The sequence below is a fragment of the Homo sapiens genome, chromosome 5, assembly GCF_000001405.40.
Source record: "Homo sapiens chromosome 5, GRCh38.p14 Primary Assembly".
Classification (NCBI taxonomy): domain Eukaryota; kingdom Metazoa; phylum Chordata; class Mammalia; order Primates; family Hominidae; genus Homo; species Homo sapiens.
In genome coordinates this window covers 160,847,725-160,872,616 of record NC_000005.10, presented here as the reverse complement: position 1 = coordinate 160,872,616, position 24,892 = coordinate 160,847,725, and the positions used below count along the sequence as shown (strand labels likewise).

The 24,892-nt window shown below is 34.8% G+C and overlaps 1 protein-coding gene across 12 annotated transcripts in view; it reads left to right on the top strand.

Annotated features, from left to right (window-relative positions):
• ATP10B (ATPase phospholipid transporting 10B (putative)) overlaps positions 1-24,892 on the top strand; it is a 366,241-nt gene that overhangs the window by 56,744 nt on the left and 284,605 nt on the right. For 8 of the 12 annotated variants that reach the window (NM_001366652.1, XM_011534469.2, NM_001366657.1 and 5 more), the window contains exon 1: positions 20,406-20,676. The exons of the other annotated variants lie outside the window; for them this stretch is intronic. The gene's annotated coding sequence lies outside the window, so the exon portion shown is untranslated. Of the gene's footprint in view, positions 1-20,405; positions 20,677-24,892 lie in introns of those variants that run through there. 12 annotated transcript variants of the gene reach the window in all.

The following is a 24,892-nucleotide window of genomic DNA, read 5'->3' as shown; positions in this document are numbered from 1 at the left end:
TGGTGCTAGGATAATTGGCTATCCACATGGAGAATAAAACTGGATCCTCAACTCTCACCTCATACAAAAATCAATTCAAGATGTATTAAGGACTCAAATCTAAGACCTGAAACTATAAAAGTTCTAGAAGATAACATTGGAAAAGCCTTTCTAGACATTGGTTTAGGCAAGGATTTCATGATCAAGAACCCAAAAGCAAATACAATAAAAGCAAAGTTAAGTAGCTGGGAGTTAATTAAACTAAAAAGCTTTTGCTTGGCAAAAGGAACAGTCAGCAGAGTAAACAGACAACCCACAGAGTGGGAGAAAATCTTCACAATCTATACATCTGACAGAAAAGTAATATCCAGAATCAACAATGAACTAAAAAGCAAATAAATAATCCCATCAGAAAATGGGCTAAGGACATGAATAGCCAGTTCTCAAAAGAAGATATACAAATGGCCAATAGATATATGAAAAAATGCTCAACATTAATAACCAGAGAAGTGCAAACCAAAATCACAATGTGATGCCACCTTACTCCAGAAAAAATGGCCATAATTCAAGAATCAAAATAGTAGATATTGGTGCAGATGTAGAAGTGTAGAACACTTCTACACTGCTGGTGGGAATATAAACTAGTACAGCCACTATGGAAAACAGTGGGGATATTCCTTAAATAACTAAAAGTAGAACTACCATTTGACCCAGCAATCCCACTGCTGGATGTCTACACAGAGGAAAATAAGTCATTATACCAAAAAAGTCATTATACAAAAAAGTCATTATATAAAAAAACGCACACACATTTATGACAGCACAATTCACAATTGCAAAATTGTGGAACCAACCCAAATGTCCATCAATCAATGAGTGAATAAAGACACTGTGATGTATATACATGATGGAATACTACACAGTCATAAAAAGGAATGAATTAACGGCATTTGCAGTGACCTGAATGAGATTGGAGACTATTCTTTTAAGTGAAGTAACTCAGGAATGGAAAACCAAACATCGTATGTTCTCACTGATATGTGGGAGCTAAACTATGAGAATGCAATGGTATAAGAATGATGCAATGGACTTTGGGAACTTGGAGGGAAAAGTGGAAAAGGGAGCAAGGGATAAAAGACTACAAATATGGTGCAGTGTATATATACTGCGCAGGTGATGGGTGCACCAAAATCTCACACATCACCACTAAAGAACTTATGTAACCAAATACCACCTGTACGGCAATAACCTATGGAAAAATAAAAATAACACTATACCTCTTCAAGGGTAATGTGAGTACATTATAACAACAATTGAGTAAAAATTATTCTAATTCCCTCCCTTCTGTTCCTTGTATCATTATTGTCATTCTTTTCACTTATATATAAGCACATATGTATATATACATATATATGGAATAAAGCATATTGCATTTTTATTTTGAGCAAACTGTTATCTATTTGATCAATTAAAAGTTTTAGTTTCACTTTTACTTATTCTTTGATGTTCTTCCTTTCTCTATGAAGATTCAAGTTTCTGACCTGTATTTTCCTCCTCTCTAAATAACAACACTTCTTATAAGACAGGTCTACTGGCAATGAATTCCCTCAATTTTTGTTTGAGAAAGGCTTTATTTCTCCTGTATTTTTGAAGAATAATTTCAAAAAGTACAGAATTGTAGGTTGTTGGTTATTTTCTCAACATGTTAAATATTTCACTCTACTATTGTTTACATTTTCTGAGGAAAAGTCAGATGTAATTCTTTGCTTCATTCTATACCTACAGTATGGTGTTTTTTCCCTCTGACTGCTTTCAGAATTCTTTGTCTTTGATTTTCTGTAGTTTTAAAATAATATGCTTTGTTGTAGGTTTTTGTTTTGTTTTTTGTGTTTTTTTTTGGCATTTCTCCTGGTTAGTGTTCTCTGAGCTTTCTGGCTTTGTGTCTGACATTAATTTGGGGAAATTCTCAGCCAGTATTGTTTCAAACATTTATTTCATTCTCTGATCTTTTTCTCCTTCTAGTATTTCCATCATTTGTATGTTACGTCTTTTTTAGTTGTCCCATCCTTGGATATTCTGCTCTGAAGTTTTTAGTTTGTCTTTTTCTCTTTTTGTTTTTTGGTTTTGGAGGTTTTTGTTATGTTTTCAAGCTCAGAGATTCTTTTCATCTCATCCAAGACTGGTTCTGCTGCTTGTTCTGTCTCCTCAAATTGTGGGGTTTTTTTTTTATTGTTTGTTCTTGCCTTTTAGTACACCTCGTATTTTTTTTATAATCATCATATCCATTATAGCTGAACATGATGTACCAGTTAAAAGAAACAGCCACAAATAAGGCTTTAATATTGTACTAGCAAGGTATGGGAAGAGGAGAAACACTCTATAGTCCTGTGATTCAGTCTGTCTTTTAGCGAGCCTATGCCTTTTGACTGTGAACTTCACAAGTGCTTCTCAGGTTACTTTCTTTCCCCTTGCATGGGACAGGATGGCTAGGATGAACTGGAATTAGGTATTTTTCTTCTCCCACGTGGAAGGCTGGAGGGAGTCGGAGTTGGGTATTTTCTTTCCCCTAATTCAGTTAGGCTCTGATCATATTCCAACAGTTTAGGCCCTGGTTGGCTAACCTCCTCTGAGGGCAGGCCTTGTTAAAAAGAACAGAGTTGCCTGGTATATTTCAAAATGGTTCATTTTCCCCTCCCCTGACAGAAGCATGTTTGAAGGGGAAGGGTTCATTATTTACTGTGAGCACCTGGCCAGGCTCCTAGAGTTAAAACAAAAATATTGGCCCCTCATGACAGGGTCCTTCTGGAGTTTTAACTCAGATTTGTCCACAGTTAAGTCTCCAGCAGTTTGTTCATTACAGTTCAGCTTTTCCTATCCTGGCCCAGGTTCCCACTGTGATTTCTTCCTGTGAGTCTGTTTTCCAGCAAGCCATGGTTTGCTGTATTCACCTGTCTTTCAATCTTGGGGGCAATGGTTTGCCTTGTGTCCTCACTTTTCTTACAGATACAAGAAGAGTTGATTTTTCAGTCTGTTCAACATTTCACTTGTTGTTAGAATGGTGCATTGAGTTCTAAGATCCTTACATGCAGAATTGGAAGCCAGAAGTGCAGGGGGAATCTAAAGGGTTTTTGTGAGCAAACATTCTAAGACTTTTTTTTTCCCCAACTGAAATAAAAAGGCAGTTATAGGACTATTTTTTTTTTGTCTCTGGTATTGTTTCCTAGAAATCAGGCTTTTTAAATAATATTTATGTTTAGCTATACTTAGCTCCTTTTAACCAAATAGGGGTAGGGGTGATATATGACAGTAGCTAAGGAGATGAATTGCATCATCCAGTTCTCATTCTGATGGGAAAAAATGAAAGCAATTAGTTATGGTACCTGAATTTACAGTTGAGTTGGGCAGAGTGTGGTAATAATAGCAACTGCAATTTGAGTATTTATTATACCAGATCATGTTTATGTGTACACACATATGTCAGATATCTAGAGAATTTACATATATTTATATACATAATTTATAATAACTATGTAAAGTAGACATTGTTATGCTTATTTTGCAGATGAAGAAACTAAGGCTGACAGATAAAGTAGCTTTCAAAGGTCAAATAGCCAAGATGGCAGAAGCAAAATTAGAACCAGGTCTCTCCAAATTAATTCCAATGCATACTTTTCCCCGGTGGTTAATACAGAATCAAGCCTTATATGAATTTCTTGGTTTCCTGTTTCTGTTAGATTAATGCAAGTAAATACTTGTAGATTGCATGTGTAATACTATGCCCTGGCTTTGTCCACTACTGAGGACCCCAAATCTTGATTTTCTTAATCTGCATAAGTATAATGAATTCCAGGACCCTCCTATCAAATATTCTTGGAAAGTTAGTCATGTCTAATGTGTAATTCCAATAAATCCTAGTCTTCACCAGTCTGCAAGTCTTAGAGGTCATTTACCTTCCCAGAACTTGGGGTAGCATCATGCTATTGATTTGTCCAGGAAAGAGAGACTTTTCTCTATGAGCTTATTATAATCCAATCTCTGACTTCCAGGTCAGAGAGATATAGTTGCATCGTGTGTGTGTGTGTGTGTGTGTGTGTGTGTGTGTGTGTGTGTGTGTGTATCTGTTCATATGCCTTAGAAGTTTGGTTCTTGTTAGAAAATATGCAAGGTTTTTCTCTTTTAAAGAAAATCACAAACTTCATAACAGTGGCTTCAGCAAGTAAAATGTTCAATGTATGTGGCATAAACTGCCTAAAGCTCTGTTGTCAACCTTGTGGTGTTTACTGGTCATTAAGTGAGAGAGAAAGAATCAAAGGGATGAAATGAACCACAGGTTTTCTCTGAGATAATAACCAACTGTTTGAGATATTCAAATTAATCAGGAAGCCAGAGAATCCAGGAAAAGAGTCAAAAAGGCATTGACTCTTTTGTGCAAAATTAGCTGCTACGCCACATCATATATGACGGTAGTCTGGCAGCTTCTCTAGATGCAGAAAGGCTGTTGGTTTTTGTACCGGAGCTTCACATGGCAGACCAGACATAACTGTACAACTCAGGCTTAACGCTCCCCTTGCCTTGTGACGCTGTGACACTATGTTGCTCAGGATTTTGTTGGTTTTCAGAGCTTTCGGTGATATTACCCCTTAGTTTTGTCATGTGATTTAGATAGGCACAGGACCTGAATAACGATACATGTTCAGCTCTGAGAAAAATCCATCCCTTCTATCTGGAAAATCACTTTGAATATTTGCATCAAATGAATAGAAAATAATGTACGAAGACAATTGAGTGATTTACTTAATGCTTTTATTTTTTCCTATATTCTTATAACAGTTTCCAATCAATGATTTCTTCCCAAATCCACAGTTAAAACTTCTAATTCCTTTGAAAAGGGGATTCACATCTATTATACTAAAACACAACCATGCCAACAAATTCTGAGGCTAGAAATTCTACTTTAAATTAGCAACTATAATTCTGGTGAATGTTCTGTAACATTGGTCATTTATCCTCCCAATCTAAGTCAAAAATATCATATGGATACATGCTTATCTTTATAATAAAGTATGTGCAGATCATTAGATTTGTACAATTTTGGAAAAACCTGAGATTTAGTTCCTTGACATTCTGCTATGTGGCAAGTTGCTCAGGAGTAGCCCCATTTCTGTGTGTGTTCTAAAATAAAAGTGATGCCTCACATCTAGGCCATAAGCTTACTTGAATTATTTTTAAGTCTTTATTATATATTTAGTATAGACACAAACAAGACCAGTGCTATAGCTAGGTAAGTAAGTTCTCCTAGTTGTCTCCCATTACAACTACCTGTCATCAACTGAATTTACTTTCAGTGGGCCCAGATATTAACAAATGGGTTATTGAGTGGTAATAGCCACCATTTTTAAGCTCTGTAGATACTTTTGTATCCATATATATATATATGCATATATATGAGACTCTCATAAATCCTAGTTGTACACAGATTTATGTGACTGCTACACATTTAATTTTCATAATAACTTTCTGAATGTTTACAGATGTAGAAACTGAGGCTCAAAAAAGTTAGGTAATTTATCTAAGAACATATAGCTAGTACATGATGGAACTAGGACATAAATCTAGATCTGACTGACCTAAGTTCATATTCCTAGCCACAATACTACACTGCCTCTTGCTTGTAATGAAACACAGCTTTTTGGTCCAGTCGTTCATAAAATGGAAGCCCTTTATTTGTTCACATAAATCTCTTGCTACTTCTATTTTAACAGTTTGGGGGGTACAGGTGGGTATTTTCACATGGATAAGTTCTTTAGTGGTAATTCAAGATTTTGGTGCACCCGCCACCCAAGCAGTGTATACTGTACCCAATATGTAGTCTTTATTCCTCACCCCACTCCCATCCTTCCCCACAAGTACCCAAAGTCTATTATATCATTTATTTTGTTTTGGTTTTGTTTTGTTTTGTTTTTGAGACAGGGTTTTGCTCTTGTTGCCCAGGCTGGAGTGCAATGGTGTGATCTCAGCTTACTGCAACCTCTTAACTCCCAGGTTCAAGCAGTTCTCCTGCCTCAGCCTCCCAAGTAGCTGGGATTGCAGGCATGCACCAACAAACATGGCTAATTTTGTATTTGTAGTAGAGATGGGGTTTCACCATGTTGGCCAGGCTGGTCTTGAACTCCTGACTTCAGGTGATCCACCTGCCTCAGCCTCCCAAAATACTGTGATGATAAGCATGAGCCACCACACCCAGCACATTATATCATTCTTATGGCTTTGCATCCCATAGCTTAGCTCCCGCTTTTATAAGTGAGAACATACAATATTTTATTTTCTATTCCTGAGTTACTTCACTTAGGATAATGGCCTCCAGCTCCATCTAAGTTGCTGCAAAGGGCATAATTTTGTTCTCTTTGTGGGCTGAGTAGTATTCCATGATGTATATATACCACATTTTCTTCACTTGTTGGTTGATAAGCATTTAGGTTGGTTCCATATTTTTGTAATTGCAAATTGTGCTGCTATAAACATACATGTGCATATGTCATTTTCATATAATGACTTCTTTTCCTCTGGGTAGATACCCAGTAGTGCTATTGTTGGATCAAATGGTAGTTCTACTTTTAGTTCTTTAAGGAATCGCCATATTGTTATCCATAGTGGTTGTATTAGCTTACGTTCCCACCATCGGTGTAAAAGTGTTCCCTTTTCACCACATCCACACCAACATCTATTGTTTTTTGACTTTTTAATTATGGCCATTTGTGCAGGAGTAAAGTGGTATCACATTGTAGTTTTGATTTGCATTTCCCTGATAATTAGTGATGTTCAGCATTTTTAATGTTTGTTGGCTGTTTGTGTATCTTGTTTTGAGAATTGTCTATTCACGTCCTTTGCCATTTTTTGATGGGATTATTTTTTTTCTTGCTGATTTGAGTTCCTTGTAGATTCTGGATATTTGTCCTTTGTCAGATGCATAGTTGTGAATATTTTCTCCCACTCTATGGGTTCTCTGTTTACTCTGCTGATTATTTTGTTTGCTTTGGAGAAGCTTTTTAGTTTAATTAGGTCCCATTTATTTGTTTTTGTTTTTGTTGCATTTGATTTTGGGTTCTTAGTCATGCATTCTTTGTCTAAGCCAATGTCTAGAAGAGATTTTCCAATGTTATCTTCTAGAATTTGTATGGTTTCAGGTCTTAGATTTAGGTCTTTGATCCATCTTGAGTTGATTTTTGTATAAGGTGAGAGATAAGGATCCAGTTTTATTCTTTTACATGTGGCTTGTCAGTTGTCCCAGCACCATTTATTGAATAGAGTGTCCTTTCCCCCAACCTTGTTTTTGTATGCTTTGTCAAAGACCAGCTGGTTGTAAGTATTTGGGTTTATTTCTGGGTTCTCTATTCTCTTCCATTGGTCTATATGCCTATTTTCTTACCAGCACCATGTTGTTTTGGTAACTATAGCCTTATAGTACAATTTGAAGTTGGGTAATGTGATGCCTCCAGATTTGTACTTTTTGCCTAGTAGTGCTTTGGCTCTGTGGGCTCTTTTTTGGTTCCATATGAATTCTAGGATTGTCTTTTCTAGTTCTGTGAAGAATGATGGTGATATTTTAATGGGAATTGCATTGAATGTGTAGATTGCTTTTGGCAGTATGTTCAATTTCACAATATTGATTCTACCCATCCATGAGCATGGGATGTGTTTCCATTTGTGTCACCTATTATTTCTTTCAGCAGTGTTCTGTCATTTTCCTTGCAGAAACCTTTCACCTCCTTGGTTAGGTATATTCCTAAGTATTCTATTTTATTTTATTTTTTTGCAGCTGTTGTAAAAGGGATTGAGTTTTCGATTTGATTCTTAATTTGTGTTGTTGATGTACAGCAGTTACTGATTTGTGTAAACTGATTTTGTATCCTGAGACTTTACTGAATTCATTTATCAGGTCTGAGCTTTTTGGATAAGTCTTTAAGGTTTTCTAGGTATACAATCATATCAGTAAACAGCAACAGTTTTACTTCCTATTTTCCAATTTGGATACTCTTTATTTTTTTTTTCTCTTGTCTGATTGCTCTGTCTAGAACTTCTAGTACTATGTCGAATAGAAGTAATGAAAATGGGCATCCTTGTCTTGTTCTAGGGAAAATGCTTTCAACTTTTCCTCATTCAGTATGATGCTGGCTGTGGGTTTGTCATAGATGGCTTTTATTACTTTGAGGTATGTCCCTTCTATGCCAATTATGTTGAGGGTTTTTTATCATAGAGAAATGGTGGATTTTATAAAATGCTTTTTCTGTGTCTATTGAGATGATCACATAATTTTTGTTTTCGATTCTCTTTATGTAATGTATCACATTTATTGACTTGTATATGTTAAACTATCCCTGCATGGCTGGTATGAAACACACTTGATCATGATGTAATATGCTGTTGGATTTGGTTAGCTAGTGTTTTGTTGAGGATTTTTGCGTCTATGTTTTTGCGTCAGGGATGTTGGTCTGTAGTTTTCCTATTTTTTATGTCCTTTCTTGTTTTGGCATTAGGGTGATACTGATTTTATAGAATAACTTAGGGAGGATTCCCTCTTTATCTTTAATAGTTTCAGTAGGATTGGCACCAATTCTTCTTTGAATGCCTGATATAATTCAGCTGTGAATCCATCTGATTCTGCACTTTTTTGTTGGCAATACGTTTTATTATTGATTTAATCTCTGTGCTTGTTATTGGTCCATTCAGGGTTTCTATTTCTTCCTAGTTTAATCTAGGAGGGTTGCATATTTCCAGGAACTTATCCATCTCCTCTATATTTTCTAGTTTGTGTGCATAAAGGTGTTAATAGTAGCCTTGAATGATCTTTTGTATTTCTGTGATACCAATTGTAATGTCTCTAGTTTCATTTCTAATTGAGCTTATTCAGATCTTCTCTCTTCTTGGTTAATACTGCTAATGGTCTACCAATTTTATTTATCTTTTCAAAGAAATCATTTTTTGTTTCATTTATCCCTTGTATTTTTTTGTTTCAATTTCATTTAGTTCTCTGATCTTTGTTCTTTTCTTCTGCTGAGTTTGGATTTGGTTTGTTCTTGTTTCTCTAGTTTCTTGAGGTGAGAGATTAGGTTGTCTATTTATGCTTTTTCACACTTTTTGGTGTGGGCATTTAATGCTATGAACTTTCCTCTTAACGCAGCTTTTGCTGTATCCCAGAGGTTTTGATAGGTTGTGTCTCTTGTTACTTTTTAACACATGCCCTCTCCTCCAGTTCAGTTTTCATTTTATTGTCTTATATTCCATCTTCCATTCTTTGGTTTTGCCATTTCTCCCAACTTTTTTACTTTTTCTCTTCCCTTTCACCTTTCTGTGTTGTAACCATTCTCTAGGACCTCAGACAACCATTCAATTAACAGGCTGTTACCAGGCACCTGCTGATTGGTTATTATCCCTGTCTTCCATAAACTCACTAACGAGTGGGAGCATCAGATATTGGGTAGGAACTCCATCCCATAATGGAAGTAGCTGAAAAAGATTAAAGTGAACCTGTTCCAATGCCTGAGGTTCAAATAAGCACCAGTAGAATTAGATTTCAAATCACTTTATCAAATATCATCTCATATATTTAGAGGTGAATAATCATATCTGTCTATGTTAAATTACAACCTTCTTGAACAGAAAGCACTATGTTTCTTTTGTATCACTATTATTCATATCTTAGAAATAGTTATGTAATCAATATTTGATACATTTTTGGCTAACAAGTATGTATAGGTAAGATATATTTTCTATCCTATGGTCTGTTTCCAAGGAACTTTTATGTGGCATATGTGTATTAAAAATATGAATATCTATTTCTGCAAATATGTTTCCAAATATATTAGAAGGTTATTATGGTAAAGAATAAAGATTGATAAAGGATTGAAATAGGAACTGGAAATTTAAGGATCAAGATTAAGAGCTGCTGATGGATTGTACCATTTGGTAAATACCCTCTTTTGGGATAGAAGTAACAATTTCTGCCTTATTGGCTCTACATAATTATTATGTTAAGCCAATTAGGTTAGTGACATGAAAGGCTTTATAAAGAATACTGTATACCAGCGATTCTCAAAGTAAGGGCTGAGGACCCCACAGGGTCCCTGTATCAGTCACAGTTTAACCAGAGAAACCTGTAGGAGGTATCAGTGAATAAACTTATTGCAAGAAATTGACTTATGTGATTATGGAGACTGGCCAGGTAAGTGTGAAATCCACAGGGTAAACCATCAGGAAGGGCAGGCTGGAATTATCCAGCAGTAGCTAACACTGCTATCCACAGATGAACTTTCTTCTTCACAGAAGGCTTAGCTCTGCTTCTGTGACCTTTTAACCGATTGAATCAGGTCCACTCAGGGTATATAAAATAATCTCTCCTGTTTAAAATCAACTGATTATGGGCTTTAGACCTACAAAACGCCTTCATGGCAACATCTAGATTAGTGTTCAACTAGACAACTGATGACTGTAGCCTAGCTAAGTTGACACAGAAAACTAACCACCATAGTCCCAAAATCCTTTCAAAGAGGCACTAATTCCCCTTTTACCAATTATGTATGAGGCTGGATATTTCTTCATGTACTTCAACCAAAACAACACAGCACAAAACACTGAATGCATAAGCAGATATGAGAACCTATTTTCTATTAGTCCAAATATGAAAGAAAAATTCTTCCTAATTTTTTGTTTTGGAAAATATAGTTACTTATCATTAAAATATGCCATTTGTTAAGATGTAATAGATATATTGTTATTTTTAAAGAAGTAAATTATTTTAAAATGTCTAAGTTTCTAATACAGTAAATATAGACCCACATAAATAAAAACTCATTTAGGTCCTAAATAATTTTTAAGTGTGTAAAGGAGCCCTGATTCGAAAAGGTATGAGAACCACTATCCTATACAAATAGAGGGATTATATTACCTTTTTTCTTATCAATAGAAAAAACTCAATACTTCTCCTTGTATTCAGCATAAATAATTATGAATGTCTTCTACTGCACAGCATATACAGTGTAAAAACTTTTCCATACTTTACGAATATCAAAACTAATCCCTTTCTCCTCATGCATTGATTTGAACAAAAAATTACAAGCTTATTTTGTGACCCCCTTTTGTGACTTACCTAATGCTATAAAGTATCTATTTAAATTTTTGATATAAACATTTCAACATCAGTATTCAGTTATTTTATTTTAAAACTTTCTTCAGAATTTAGTAAGTTACAAGTTTCATTCCATAATCATCAAAATATTTATTTTGGAGAGATTTTTATTCATGTTTTATATGCTAAAAATTAGTAAGCTGATAAAATGAGCAGAAAAGAGAATTATGGTAGGTAGTTCTCTATTCTAGTGTGTAAAATAGCAATATCAATTTCTTCCTTACTATTCAGCCACCTTTTGATTAACTGGAAAAATTAAAGGAAAATAGGTCATGGCAAAGTCAAAATCATGAGTAAAACAAAAATGGCCAAAAGATGGTACAAAATGCACTTGATAAAAATTAAGCAAAATTACACATCAGATTCTGAAACACAGTATTATTATATAGTGTCATCCTAAAGAGCAAAGTAAAGAAGTATGAAAATAATCTTTTAAGATAGAAGTTAAAAACTGAGTTGCTACAGAGGCCAGGCAAATAATATGACCTACTGAAGCAGTTTGGGTGGGGAATGGGGATACTTGTGCCCTGTCCAAAGTGGATGGCCATTATTCAGCAATGGCCAGCACTTGACTTGTGGGAATATGTACCCATCATCAACAGTTTTTTTGACTTGTTTCTTGAAAAATATAGCTTCATTCTCATGAGAAATCTCCCAATGTTTGAATGCTGCCAATGAATCTAAAATTTAAGTATGTGAAGGCTAAACAAAATATCTTTGCAGATTTTTACCATTGTGTGATATCTGGTTTTGGAGCACTGAATATCACATAAAATACTTTATGACAAAGGACCAAAAAGTTATCCACTAAGGCAACCTGCAGTTGCTGATGTTTTTTAGCTGAGTCTGTTCATGCCCCCTTCAACATTGTTTAGTATAAAGTTTCTTCATTGTTGTTTCATCTTTACCTTCTAAAATTCTTTCAGAAATCAAATTAATTGGTGTAGGAGATTTCATATTCCTTCAAACTCATTTCTAAAAATTTGCTTTACATGTATCTAGAGGAAGAACCAAGCCTAATGTTGGGGAAAGGTAGACAAGACCCATTAAACTTATCTCATTTAGTTAGTGAATCAGTCCTGTAATTATCATAACAGAAACAATGTGACATTTACTAGATATTCTCTAATTCTGTATAGTAGATATCTTTTAATATATTCTTGTTTTAACAAATTTATTAAGATTTTATATTTTCTACTACTTTATACATTTGTACATTTGTTTAACTTTGATAAACATAAGTTAATTCATTCCCAGTAATCAAGAGTTGGCTTTCATTTCATGAGCCAAATTATCCTTAAGTGTACAAAAGTCAAGAACCCTGGGCAGACAATTGAATATCGTTGGAAAACATACTATTGCCCCAAAAAGAGATTATCTTCACAAAGGAAATATAATGGCTTTGTACGTTGTTTTATATTTTTTAGAAATAAAAAGAGTAATATACATTTATTCATAATAAACGAAAGACGTACAAGTAAAAATTAAGCTATTTCTACATTTCTGCAACAAGTAGAGTTGACATCACAAAATGGGTCCTTAGATACTATCACTGTGTTCGTGCAAATATCCAGTCACACAAAGATGCACATATAGGCCATTATTTATAAATGGAGTTACCCTGCACAAGTTTCTTTTCTCAATTAGAATATATTACAATGTCTCCAAGTTACTAAGCATACCTGACGGCCATACTAAACTTAGTTATCTAGTCACCAGTCACCAGTGTTGGATATACAAACCATTTCCAACAAGCAGTGGGAAACAATCAACTCTAGATGTTAATAAATTCCAGATTTCTGAGCTTTTTGCTTTCTGTTTTTTACTGTGCCTGGAAGATAAATAGTAGAGTGCCAAAGAGCAAGATAAAAGATGTATTTTAGATATACAGAAGACTGGGATTAGAACAGACTTATCTAAAATTTAAAGGACATTTGAAGGGGGATTATGGGGAGGGGGCCTGTGCTTTGAATTTACAGATTTAAGAAGGTGAGGAAATCCCAAACAGAATAAATTCAAAGAAATCTACACCAAGATATAATTAAACTTCTGAAAGGCAAAGACAAAGAAAAAAATATTGAAACCAACCAGAAAAAGAATAATGGCTTACCTTAGAGGAAGAATAATTTAAATGACAGAGTATTTCTCATTAAAAATCATGGGGGCCAGAAGGAAGTACAAAAATATTTTTTAAGTTCTATATGAGAAGTTTCAATCCATAATTCTATACCCAGTAAAAACATCCTTTAAAAACAAAAGGGATCAATGCTATATGTGAAAACAAACAAAAAAATAAAGGGGGAAATAAAAGACATTTGCAAATGAAGGAAAACCAAGGGAATTAGTTGCCAGCAGACTTATCTTAAAAGAAGGCTAAGAGAAGTTCTCTAAACAAAAAGGAAAGACAAAATAAGTAATCTTGGAACATCAGAAAGGAAAATATAACATGTTAATTTAAAAAAATAGCTAAATGCAATAGGCTTTTCTTAAACTTTCTAAATTATGTTTCACTATTGAAGTAAAAATTATGACACGTTTCATTTGCTTCTAAATATATGTAGAGGACATATTTATGAAAATTATATTATAAATTAGGAAGGAGAAAAGAAGTAAATTTTTTATATGTCACTCAAACTGGTAAAATGATAAAACTATAGATTGTAATAAGTTGTGTATATATAATACAATATCTAAATCATTCAAAAAGCTATACAAAGAGATATACTCAAAAATGCAAAAGCTGAAAATGGAATTCTAAAAAACTGTTCAAACAACCACAGGAAGGTAAGAAAAAGAAAACAAGAAAAAGACAAAATGGTAATCTTAGTCCCTAACATATTAATAATCACATTATATGCAAGTGATTATGCCAATTAAAACATGGGGTTTGGGGCCTGGAACCTCACCATGCAGCCTGCCTTTTTCCTCCAGTTACAGACCCACTGGCAGGTGGAAAATATCTGGGACTCCAAGGAACACAGTTTACATACCAGTGACTTGAGAAACAAAATTCAAAATTTATTTTAAAAAAAAGATAGACAAAGTAGATTTTAAAATGATCAGTTACATGCTTTCTACGAGAAACTGACTTCAAATACAGCAATATAAGCAGATTAAAAATAAAAGGATGGAAAAAGATATATTATGGAGACATTAATCCAAGGAAAACAAAAGTACCTATATTAATATCAGACAAAGTAAACTTCAGAACAAAGAAAATTACCAGAGACAGAGACATTATATAATGGTCAAAAGCTCAATCCACCAGGGAGACACAATTTTAAATATGTATGCACCAAACAACATAGTCACAAAGCATGTAAAACAAAAACCAATATGACTGAAAGGAGGAAAAATGGACAATTCCACAATACCCCACTCTCAATTGATTTTTAAAAAATAAAAAATCGAATATAAAAATTTTACATCAAATAAAACAGATTAATAGACAATTGTAGAATACTTCTCCCCCAAGAAAAGTAGAATATTCATTCTCTTTAAGTGCCATCAAACAAATACCAGGAAATAATATATTCTGAGCCACAAAATGAATGTCGACAAATTTAAAATAATTAAAATTGTACAGAGTGCATTCTCTGACCATAATGAAATCCAACTAGAAATTAGTTATAGAAAGATAAAAGAAATCTGAAAACACTTGAAAATTAAACTATACACATCTAAATAGCTCATGAATAAAACAGCAAATCTCAAGGGAAAAATACATTGAACTGAACAAAAATTTAAAATACAACACAGTAAAATTAATGGGACACAGCTAAAGCAATGCCAAGAGAGAAATTTATATCACTAAATGCCTATGCTAGAAAAGAGAAAATTTTCTCTAATAATCTAAGCTTCCATCTCAGAAATATAGAAAAAGAAGATAAAAATATCCCAAAGCAAACACAAGGAAATAAATTAAAAAACAGAAATCCCTAAAATTGAAAACAAGAAAATCAACAAAGCAAAGAGCTGGTTCTTTTAAAAGATCAACAAATAGAATTAATAGACCTCCAGCAAGACTGACAAGAGAATAGACAAAAATTACCGATATCAAAAATGAAATGGATATCACCACTGACACAGCAGAATCAAGGGATAATAAGAAAATAATATAGACAACTCTAGACAAAATGGACCAATTCCTTAAAAAAAAAAATACAAACTACCAAAACTCACTGAATGCAAAATAGATACTTCCAATAGCTCTATATCTGTTAAGGAAACTGAATTTGTTATTTTAAAACTTCCAAAAAAGACATTTCCAGACCCAGATGATTTCACTGGGGAATCCTACAATTTGTTTAAAGAAAAATTAATTCAAATTCTGTAAATATTTTCCAGAAGATAAAGTAGAATAGGTTATATCTCAAATTGTTTTATGAAGCTGGTATTACCCTGATATCAAAACCAGGAAAAACAGTATAAAAAATTATAGACCCAAAGCCTTCATGAATATAAATGCAAAAGTTATTAACAAAATATTAGAAAACAAAATTCATCAATTAAAAAATTATACATGATGGCCAAATGGAGTCTATTTCAGGTATGCAAAGCTAGGTCAAGATCTGAAAATCAATTAATGTAATAGACCACATTAACTAGCTAAAGCAGAAAAATTACATGATCATATCAATTAATGCATTAATTAAATTCAAATGGAATTAATGCAGGAAAAAACTAATTCAAAATCCATTCACGATAAAAAATATCTCAGTAAAATAGAAATACAAGAGAACTCCCTCAACTCAAATCATCTACATACAAATCTACATACAAATCATCTACATACAACTCAAATCATCTACATACAATATACAGCTAACATTATACTTATTAGTGACAGACTTAATATTTTCCCCCTGAGACTGAGAACAAGACAATGATGTTCACTCTCATCACTTTTATTCAACATAGCCTTAAAAGTTTCAGTGAGTGCAATAAGGCAAGAAAATAAAATAATAGGCATACATATTAGAAAGGAAGAAATAATACCGTTTCTATTTGCAGGTGACATGATTGTCTTTGTAGAAAATCCAAGGAATCTACAATATACTCCTAGAACTAATGAGCAAGTCACCAAAATTGCAGAATACAAGATAAACATACAGAAATTTATTCTATTTTGGTATACCAGCCAGAACATATGTGCAGCAAGCAAAATGTGTACAGGACTCATATGCTAAAAACTACACGATGTTGATAACATAAATGAAAGAGGACCTACATAGATGAAGAGACACACTATGTCCATTGATTGGACTATTCAAATAGTAAAGATGTCCATTTTTCCCAAATTAGTATATGAATTTAATACAATCACTATCAAAATCCAAAAAGTTTTTTCTAGGTACAGACAAGATTATTATACAATTTATATGAAAAAGCATGAAACCAAGAATAGTTAAAACAATTTTGAAAAAAAATAAAGTGGAAGGAATCTATCTACCTGATTTTAAGATTTATATGATTATAGTCATCAAGACTGGTACTGGCAGGGGTATAAACAATGGAGAAGAATCCAGAATCCAGAAATAGATCCACACAAATATGCAACTAATTTTTTTTTTTACAAAGTTACAAGAACAATTCAATGGAGGAAGGACAGTCATAAAACAAGTGGTTCTAGTACAATTGAAAATCCAAATAAACACACAAGGAAACCTTGATCTTAACATTACAGTTTACACAAAATTTAACTCAAAATGGATCATAGACTTAAATGTAATTCATAAAATTATAAAATTTTTAGAGAAATAGGATAAATATTTAAGATTTAGAAGTATGCAAAGAGTGAAAAGGAAAATTGATTCAATATTGCTTTAAAAATTGATGTAAATAAACCTTTTGATCTGTGTAATACCCTGTGAAGGGGATAAAAAGATAAGTTATGGATTGAAAGAAAACATTTCCCAACCACATATCCGACAAAGGTATAGTATATAAAGAACACTCAAAACTAAAAAAAAAACAAACAAAAATTAATTAAAACATAAGCAAAAGACATTAAGAAATATTTCACCAAACAAAATATATAACTGAGAAATAAGCACATAAAAAGATACTCAACATCATTATCCATTAGGAAAATGCAAATTAAAACCAAAATGAGATATTGCTATACACCTATTGAAATAACTAAAGAGTAGTGACAACACCAAATGCTGGTGAGGATGCGGAGAAACTAGGGCCCTCACACATTTCTGGTAAGAAAGTAAAATGGTATAGTCACTCTGGAAGAATATCGCAGTTTCTTAAAATACTAAACGTGCAAATACATCTAGGATTAAAATACTAAACAAGCATTTATTAAAATACTAAACATACCATACAATCCAGGAATTAAACTTCTGTCTGTGCATTTATTCTAGAAAAATACTTCTATTCACACAAAACCTGTGCACAAATGTTTATAGCAACTTTATAACAGAGCTGGAAATAACTCAGATGTCCTTCAAAGGTGAATGGTTAAACAATCTGTAGTTTGAGTCCCAGATACTTCCTAGTTATGTGAAAGCACAGTTATTTTATTCCTTTTCCTACATTTTCTCTCTCGTAGAATAAGAATAATTGCGTCAATCTATTAAAGTTTTTGAGGGAATTAAATGAGTCAAAGTATGTAGAGCACTTAACATGGTGCTGGCACAAAGTACTCAGTAAAAATTAGCACCAATAGGGAGTGTAAATTAGTTCAACCATTGTAGAAGACAGTGCGGAGATTCTTCAAGGATCTAGAACCATAAATACAATTTGACCCAGCAATCCCATTACTGGGTATATACCCTATAAGTCATTCTACTATAAAGACACATGCACAGGTATGTTTATTACAGCACTGTTCACAATAGCAAAGACTTGGAACCAACCTAAATGCCCATCAATGATAGACTGGATAAAGAAAATGTAGCACATACACACCATGGAATACTATGCAGCCATAAAAAAGGATGAGTTCATGTCCTTTGCAGGGACATGGATGAAGCTGGAAGCCATCATTTTTAGCAAACTAACACAGGAACAGAAAACCAAACACCACATGTTCTCATAAGTGGGAGTTGAACAATGAGAACACATGGACACAGGGAAGAAACATCACACACTGGGGCCTGTCAGGGGTTGGGGGGCTAGGGGAAGGGATAGCATTAGGAGAAATGCCAAATGTAGGTGACGGGTTGATGGGTGCAGCAAACCACCATGGCACGTGTATACCTATGTAACCTGCATGTTCTGCATGTGTATCCCAGAACTTTAAAGTATAATAAAAAATAAAAATTACCACTAATAACACTTGCACAGCTTGTAGAAGATAGTCTTAAGATTATGAAATCCATCCTGGTTGTGTGGTACTGGTGTCGGGGATGGGAGCAAAAGCCTCTGTCTACCATTGCTTCTTTAATTGACTAGTTTGGGCAGCAAGAATACAAAAGCTAGACATGACACACTGTGTAAAAATCAGGAATGAAAAGCATGATGTGGTCAATAAGAAATGCAAATACATACAAAAATGCTAAATTGCCTTAGTGTAGAAAGATTGCCTGCTGGAAATAGGAACTATAAGTAAAACTCTGTGAGTGTGATTTTTAAAATATGATTTATTACAAAATTCCAGCAGCCAAACAAAAGAAAGATAGTCCCTCTAATAAAAACTGAACATAGCATTTCTTATCTATTATTTGTTTATTAGGGTTCTAATTAGCCAGACAGTGTCACTTAATTTCAACACATTTTATAAATAATTTGCCATATGTCTGTTAGTATTTACGATTTCCAGGCAGTTTGGAAAATGAACATATTTGAGGACTCTCTATTCATTGGTTAGCATGAAAACCCAAGGGATGCTACAGACACATTTGTTCCTAAATTGCATGTGCCTCTCTCTTTACCAGGAAAGTGATAATGGGAAAGAGCTGGTCTTAGGAGAAAGACCAGTGATGGAAAATATACTAGTCTTAGGAGAAAGACAATGTGGTTTGAGGTCCCATGTTCACCACCAAATTCCTGTTTGGCTTTGAGCAATTGTATTCACTTCTCTGAGCTTCAGCATTCTCCTCCATGGCACAAGGGGGCTTCACTAAATAACCTCCAGTTACCCACTAGTGCAATATTCTGCAATTTAACCGTATCTGTGATTCTAGACCACACTCGTCCCTAGAAGCCAGAGCACTCTGAGTGAAGGGAAGTAAAGGAACAGGGACTTAAGCATTCTTCTCTTTAGCAGATGGAGAATTTTGAAATGCCAACTCGCTCTTTTAAAAATTCTAGACTGTCTAAAGCATAGGCAAATTTCATGTTCTTAAAAATTCCTAGCTTGTGTCTTACACACACAGCGATGCAGATTTTAGATGGTGTGGGTGTTTCTTCTCTTGTAAAATGTTTCCTATGTCCATGTTTCTTCTTGGTATTCTGATAAGATCTGTAGGTACATACAAAGTTCACAATTACTCTACCAACCAACCAAAATCTTATGTAAAGATTTTCATGAAGTTAGTATGTTCACTTCTTTCCAACACCTTTTATTCCTAAGTTTGGTAATATTTCTTTTTTTTACTACCCTTAAAATCAACTTACTGCTCATTCTACCTTCTCTTTTATTTATGGACCCATCAATAATTATCCATCAATACAGCAACTTGCTCATGACATTTATGCCAATTAGTTGAGTTGTAGGTAACTTAATAAAAGGATTATACATGAAAATCTCATTTTAGGGTATGAATCGAAGCTATCAATAAGCCCATTACTAATTCTGATTTTCTGTAAGTTTGCACCATTCACATAATCTGCCACTATAATATATTGGTCCCACTTTCCTTATTTTGTATAATCAAACAGTAATCAATAAAAACTATGACTACTGCAAAATGAGACTTCTGAAGCTTTGAGGGCAAATTCATCATCAGCATGCATATAAAAGTCACTGTAGAGAGTCTTTTCTTTCTTAAGTGCCCTTGAAACCCAGCAGCTGAATCATATTTCAGGCCCCCCAAAGAGAACTGCAAGGTTATAATTGTCTCACACTTAATTACATGCATTACCAAAGGTAGATGGACAAAGTCATTTTGTACCATGCGTAGAGAATAAAAATCACCATGAATTTTGATATTGCTGGCTCATTGATTCACAGGAAGTAGAAATTTATGCAAGAACCATGTCTAACAATGTAAATGTTCAGCCAAGTCGAAGAACACTGCCTTCACTGTTCTGGGACTCGGCCTCACATTCACAGACTTGCTATTCTTCTCTTTCACTCTTGGGCCTAGCGAGGCAGCTTATTTTTCCTTTTTCTTTCATTGGTCACAGTTATTTCTTTTCAGTGTGTCATCTTCTCTAAGTTTCTGAGGGAGTGTTAGCTTGAGGCCTTGCCTTGACATAATCAGATATAATCAGAAAAATGAAAAATTCCATAGGAAAGAGAACTATTTTAGCCAAGGTGTGCGAGAGAAATACCGCCACTTTCAAGCACTGTTTTCTTCTACTGGAGTCTGCTCAATAGGGACGTCAGCTTTGCTGGGGTAAGTAAAAGCATCCTGGCCTTAACCTATATAATGGGGGAGTAATTGCCTCTTAGAATCATCAAGTCTAAGTTCTGAATTAGGCCCAGGATATGACTACTTTTCTTTACACTGCATTTGAAATTTCATTTGGCTTTCTGGGTGCGAGATCCACATTTCTTTTCTAACAGAATGTTTTATTTTTCGTCAATTGATTTCATTATGATAAGCTGATGGCAAATGCTACTTCCTCACTCAACAGGGCTTGCAGTCTGAATGTGCCTGAATACATTTTATGATAAATAATATATCCTGCTATCCTGCATTCATCCAGTGCAGCCTGAGGAAGCAGATGGAGTTACAGCCTTCTTCTCAAAGCAGAAAGAAACTATAGCTTTGAGGAAGAGAATGAGATCATTACATGGCTTCCCAATTTCATCTTGATAAACTCTGAAGCTGCCATATTGCAGTAGTTTTCAACTATAGGTGGGAAGCTTGACTTTCCTTTGAGTTCAAAGGAGAAAACTGTTGCTTAAAGAAAAATGTGTTTTTTCCCTAAGTATGAGTTACTCCTTCCAGAAAAAAAATAAAAAAGCCCCATGCATGCAGGTCTGTGATGAATACATTTAGGACAGTCCTGTGGCCTGCTATTAAGGCTGGAGTGACACTATCCCTAACCCTAAGGTGAAAAGTAATGTTAAAAATAAAAATTATACTGAGCTGCTAGTTATTTTGCCTACAGGAGTGCATGCCTGTGTCTGGTGGAACTTGGTTTTTCTCTGAATTTGCCAGGCAATTTTCTCTGAATTTGCCAGGTAGGCAGAGGAGAATTTGAAAACTGTAGAGAGGAGCTTGACCTCCCAAAGCCAATCTGGCACTCTGCTACTTCCTTCTTCCACAGTTTCTTCTCTGTTTCCAGATCTTGCAAATGTACAGTCAAGACTGCTTGGAGTATTATTCCATTAACAGACATACAGTTACATTAAGCCATTAATCAGGCAGATCACAGATGTTGTTTTCTGTCTAGATGTTACTATAATTACTCTTAATAACACCCACTGAGTTTGTCATTTCATCCATTGATGACTTTTTAAAAAATTCTTGGAAAATTCATTTCTTACAGCCTAATTATATGGATTTAAGGGTTCAGGATCTCTCCTCAGGTTTTCATCATGTATTTTTTAAAGAGTATAGCAGTATAACATCACATATGGGTGGATTAATAGGCTCTTGAGAAACTGAAGGTTGAAACCCACATGCTGACTTTTTACAGTTAAATCATACTCCTCTCGTGCTAAACGATGAGCCTTATCTTTTGAAGCATGTGATACTGATAAGTCCAGTGAAGGAGGCTGCCTTTCAAAGGAACGGAGCTCTGAGGAATGGAATGGAACTTAGTCTAGCTGCCTAGTTTACAGATGATAAAACTAGGACCTAGAGAAATGAAGTCTGAATTACTGAGAGAAAAGGACACCAGAGTCCAAGGCTCAGAGCTCTCAATCCAGTGTTGCTTCTTCTTGTTTATTTTGTTTTGTTTTGAGATGGAGTCTTGCTCTGTCACCCAGGCTGGCGTGCAGTGGCGCAATCTCAGCTCAATGCAACCTCTGCCTCCTGGATTCAAGCAATTCTCCCATCTCAGCCTCCCAAGTAGCTAGGATTACAGGCATGCACCACCATGCCTGGCTAATTTTTGTTTTGTTTTTTGTTTTTTGTTTTTTAGTAGAGACGGAGTTTCACCATGTTGGCCAGGCTGGTCTCGAACTCCTGACCTCAGGTGATCCGCCCACAGCCTCCCAAAGTGCTGGGATTACAAGCGTAAGCACCGCACCTGGCCCAGTGTTGCTTCTACTACCACTTTCATTCTTCAAACAGCTTCTGCCATGTCAGAAGGGAATGAAAATTTCTTTTGTGACTCAAAAGTAAACTAAAACTCGTTGGATTCCTGAGACTGATTCTACCCATTTACCCACTCTCCTTAAAGTAAAACTTAGCCAGGCATTCTTAAATTTTGCTTTGAACCTAGGGAGTTCTAGCTTTTCTGCTGATTAAATGTCACTGATTTCTCATTTTCTGGTGACATTGTTTTACAATTCTTTTAACTACAAAGTTTAAGTTTCTGGAGCCTTTTCTTCTTTTCATTTTTTATAAAATACCCTTTTATTAAGAGATGAAGTTGGGTAGTCAGAATAGGAGTGGGTATTGTTTAGTAGAAAAAAAACGGGCTTTGGAATAAAACTTGCATATGAATTACAGTTCTGCTTCCTATAATTGTGTAACCTTGGCAAGTTACTGCGCCTGTCAAATGCTCACATTAAAAGAGTGTGTGTGTGTGTGTGTGTGTGTAATTGCCAGTACAATTCAATAATTGGCCCACAGAAGGCACTTAATAATTGCTAGTTACTACTAAGAGAACCAGATGAGAAAGAATATTAATGGATATGGCATTTTTTGTTTATTAAGTACTGTCTTAAACGTCTGGAGAAAAGAAGGAGAATCTCATTTTCTGCTTTCGTTATTAGTGATCACTGGCTGCTGTTGCCAATGCAGGGAGCCTTGCAGATAGTTAGCAGCCTGAAAACAACTTGTATTATTTGAGAGGAGGTACTTTTGTCTCTTAGATAAAGTTTTTGCAGGTCGCTCTGGTATGGTGCAGTATCAATCTGAACTCATTAAGTTGAAGAAGTGACACAGGAACACAAGAATACATTGTTTCTTTGCCTCATCTGCTTAATTAAAAATTCCAGATCCCTCCACTCACAAGCAAGATTGATGGTGAAATCTTCACACACATGCTACCGTATGTTCTCTACCTCCTCCTCCCCAAGTACAACCTAGAGCAGTGGTTCCCAAATATGCTTCCTGGGCCGGCTGTATCAGAATTACTCGGGAACTATTAGAAGGGCAAAACCTCAGGCCCTGCCGCAGACATGCTGAGTCAGAAACTCGGGATCACTCAGAAATCTGTTTTAAATAGGCCTTCAGGTGATTCTGATGGAGTTCCAGAACCATGACCTGGAGAACATGCCCAGTTACTATATGTACTGCAGTGTTTCTCAAAGTGAAGAACAGGTACCATGATAGAACCAAAAATGATCTTAGGTAGGACAAAGATGACTTTAGGTGATACTCACGTATTATATCAAATAGCTAGATCACATAGTAAAAGTTTTCCCTCTCAACTCTCTTTCCATCATTAAGTCTCATTTTGGTATGACTAGACCTTTAATACCTCTCTACCCATTGCTAATCTCCCATTTCAACAAAGAGAGCTGGATGCAATTTTGATGTCTTTAGGTAGCAGCAGGGTCCAGCTAAAACTCAGCAATAGTTTTCTTCTCTTTATGGCATGCTATTTAAATGGTGATAAACTTTTCCTTTATAAATGTTTACATTAATTAATCAAAAAAGTTAAAATACAGTTGGCACGTGGATTAGCAAAATTATGTCAGTGATATGGCAGTGAATGTATTTAGAGAAATGCTGGTATGCTAGAAAGAACCTAGTTACATCAGTGCTTTAATTTCATTTGTGCCATTTATTAGCTGTGCTATTTTCTTAGCTGTGCTACTTTTGTAAGCCTCAATTTTCTCATCTATCAAATGGGAGTGATACCAACATCATAGAAATGGTATAAGAACTTATGAATGGAATATGCCTCCTGTAACCCTCAGAACATAGTAGGAACTTGCTACATCCTTATTCTCTCAAATCTCACTTTGAAGTCAGGTTTCTGTGTGGCCTTCTCAATAGCATTTCTGTTGGGGCTTCAGATTCTTCATTTGTAATGTGACAGTAAAGACTTGAAGATCTGAAAGGTTCCTTCCAGCTCTTAACTAATATGTATTTACACATGTGTATTGTATGTGTGTATGTTTACATATAGTGTAAATTCTGCATATAAGTATGACTTAGGCATAAATAGTTATTTTCCCCAGGCATAAACCTGGAGTGTGCAGGGATAATATTGAAAATAGATGGCTGTGTTGGAAAAATAAAAAATCAAATTGTGAGAGATGTGGGCGCTGATATACATATCAGAGCTCAAAGGTAATTTCATTGTATTTTACCATCATCTGTCAAACTTAAAGCAATACCGACACTAGAAAATAGATTTTTGCAGAGGTTTCTGAGGACAATGGTTTCCATGAGCTGGTGTAAATATATTCAGAGAGACTTGTTCCTACTTAATAACCCGCGTTTTTCCTTCTGAATTGCTGATGCATTCATTTATAGCATT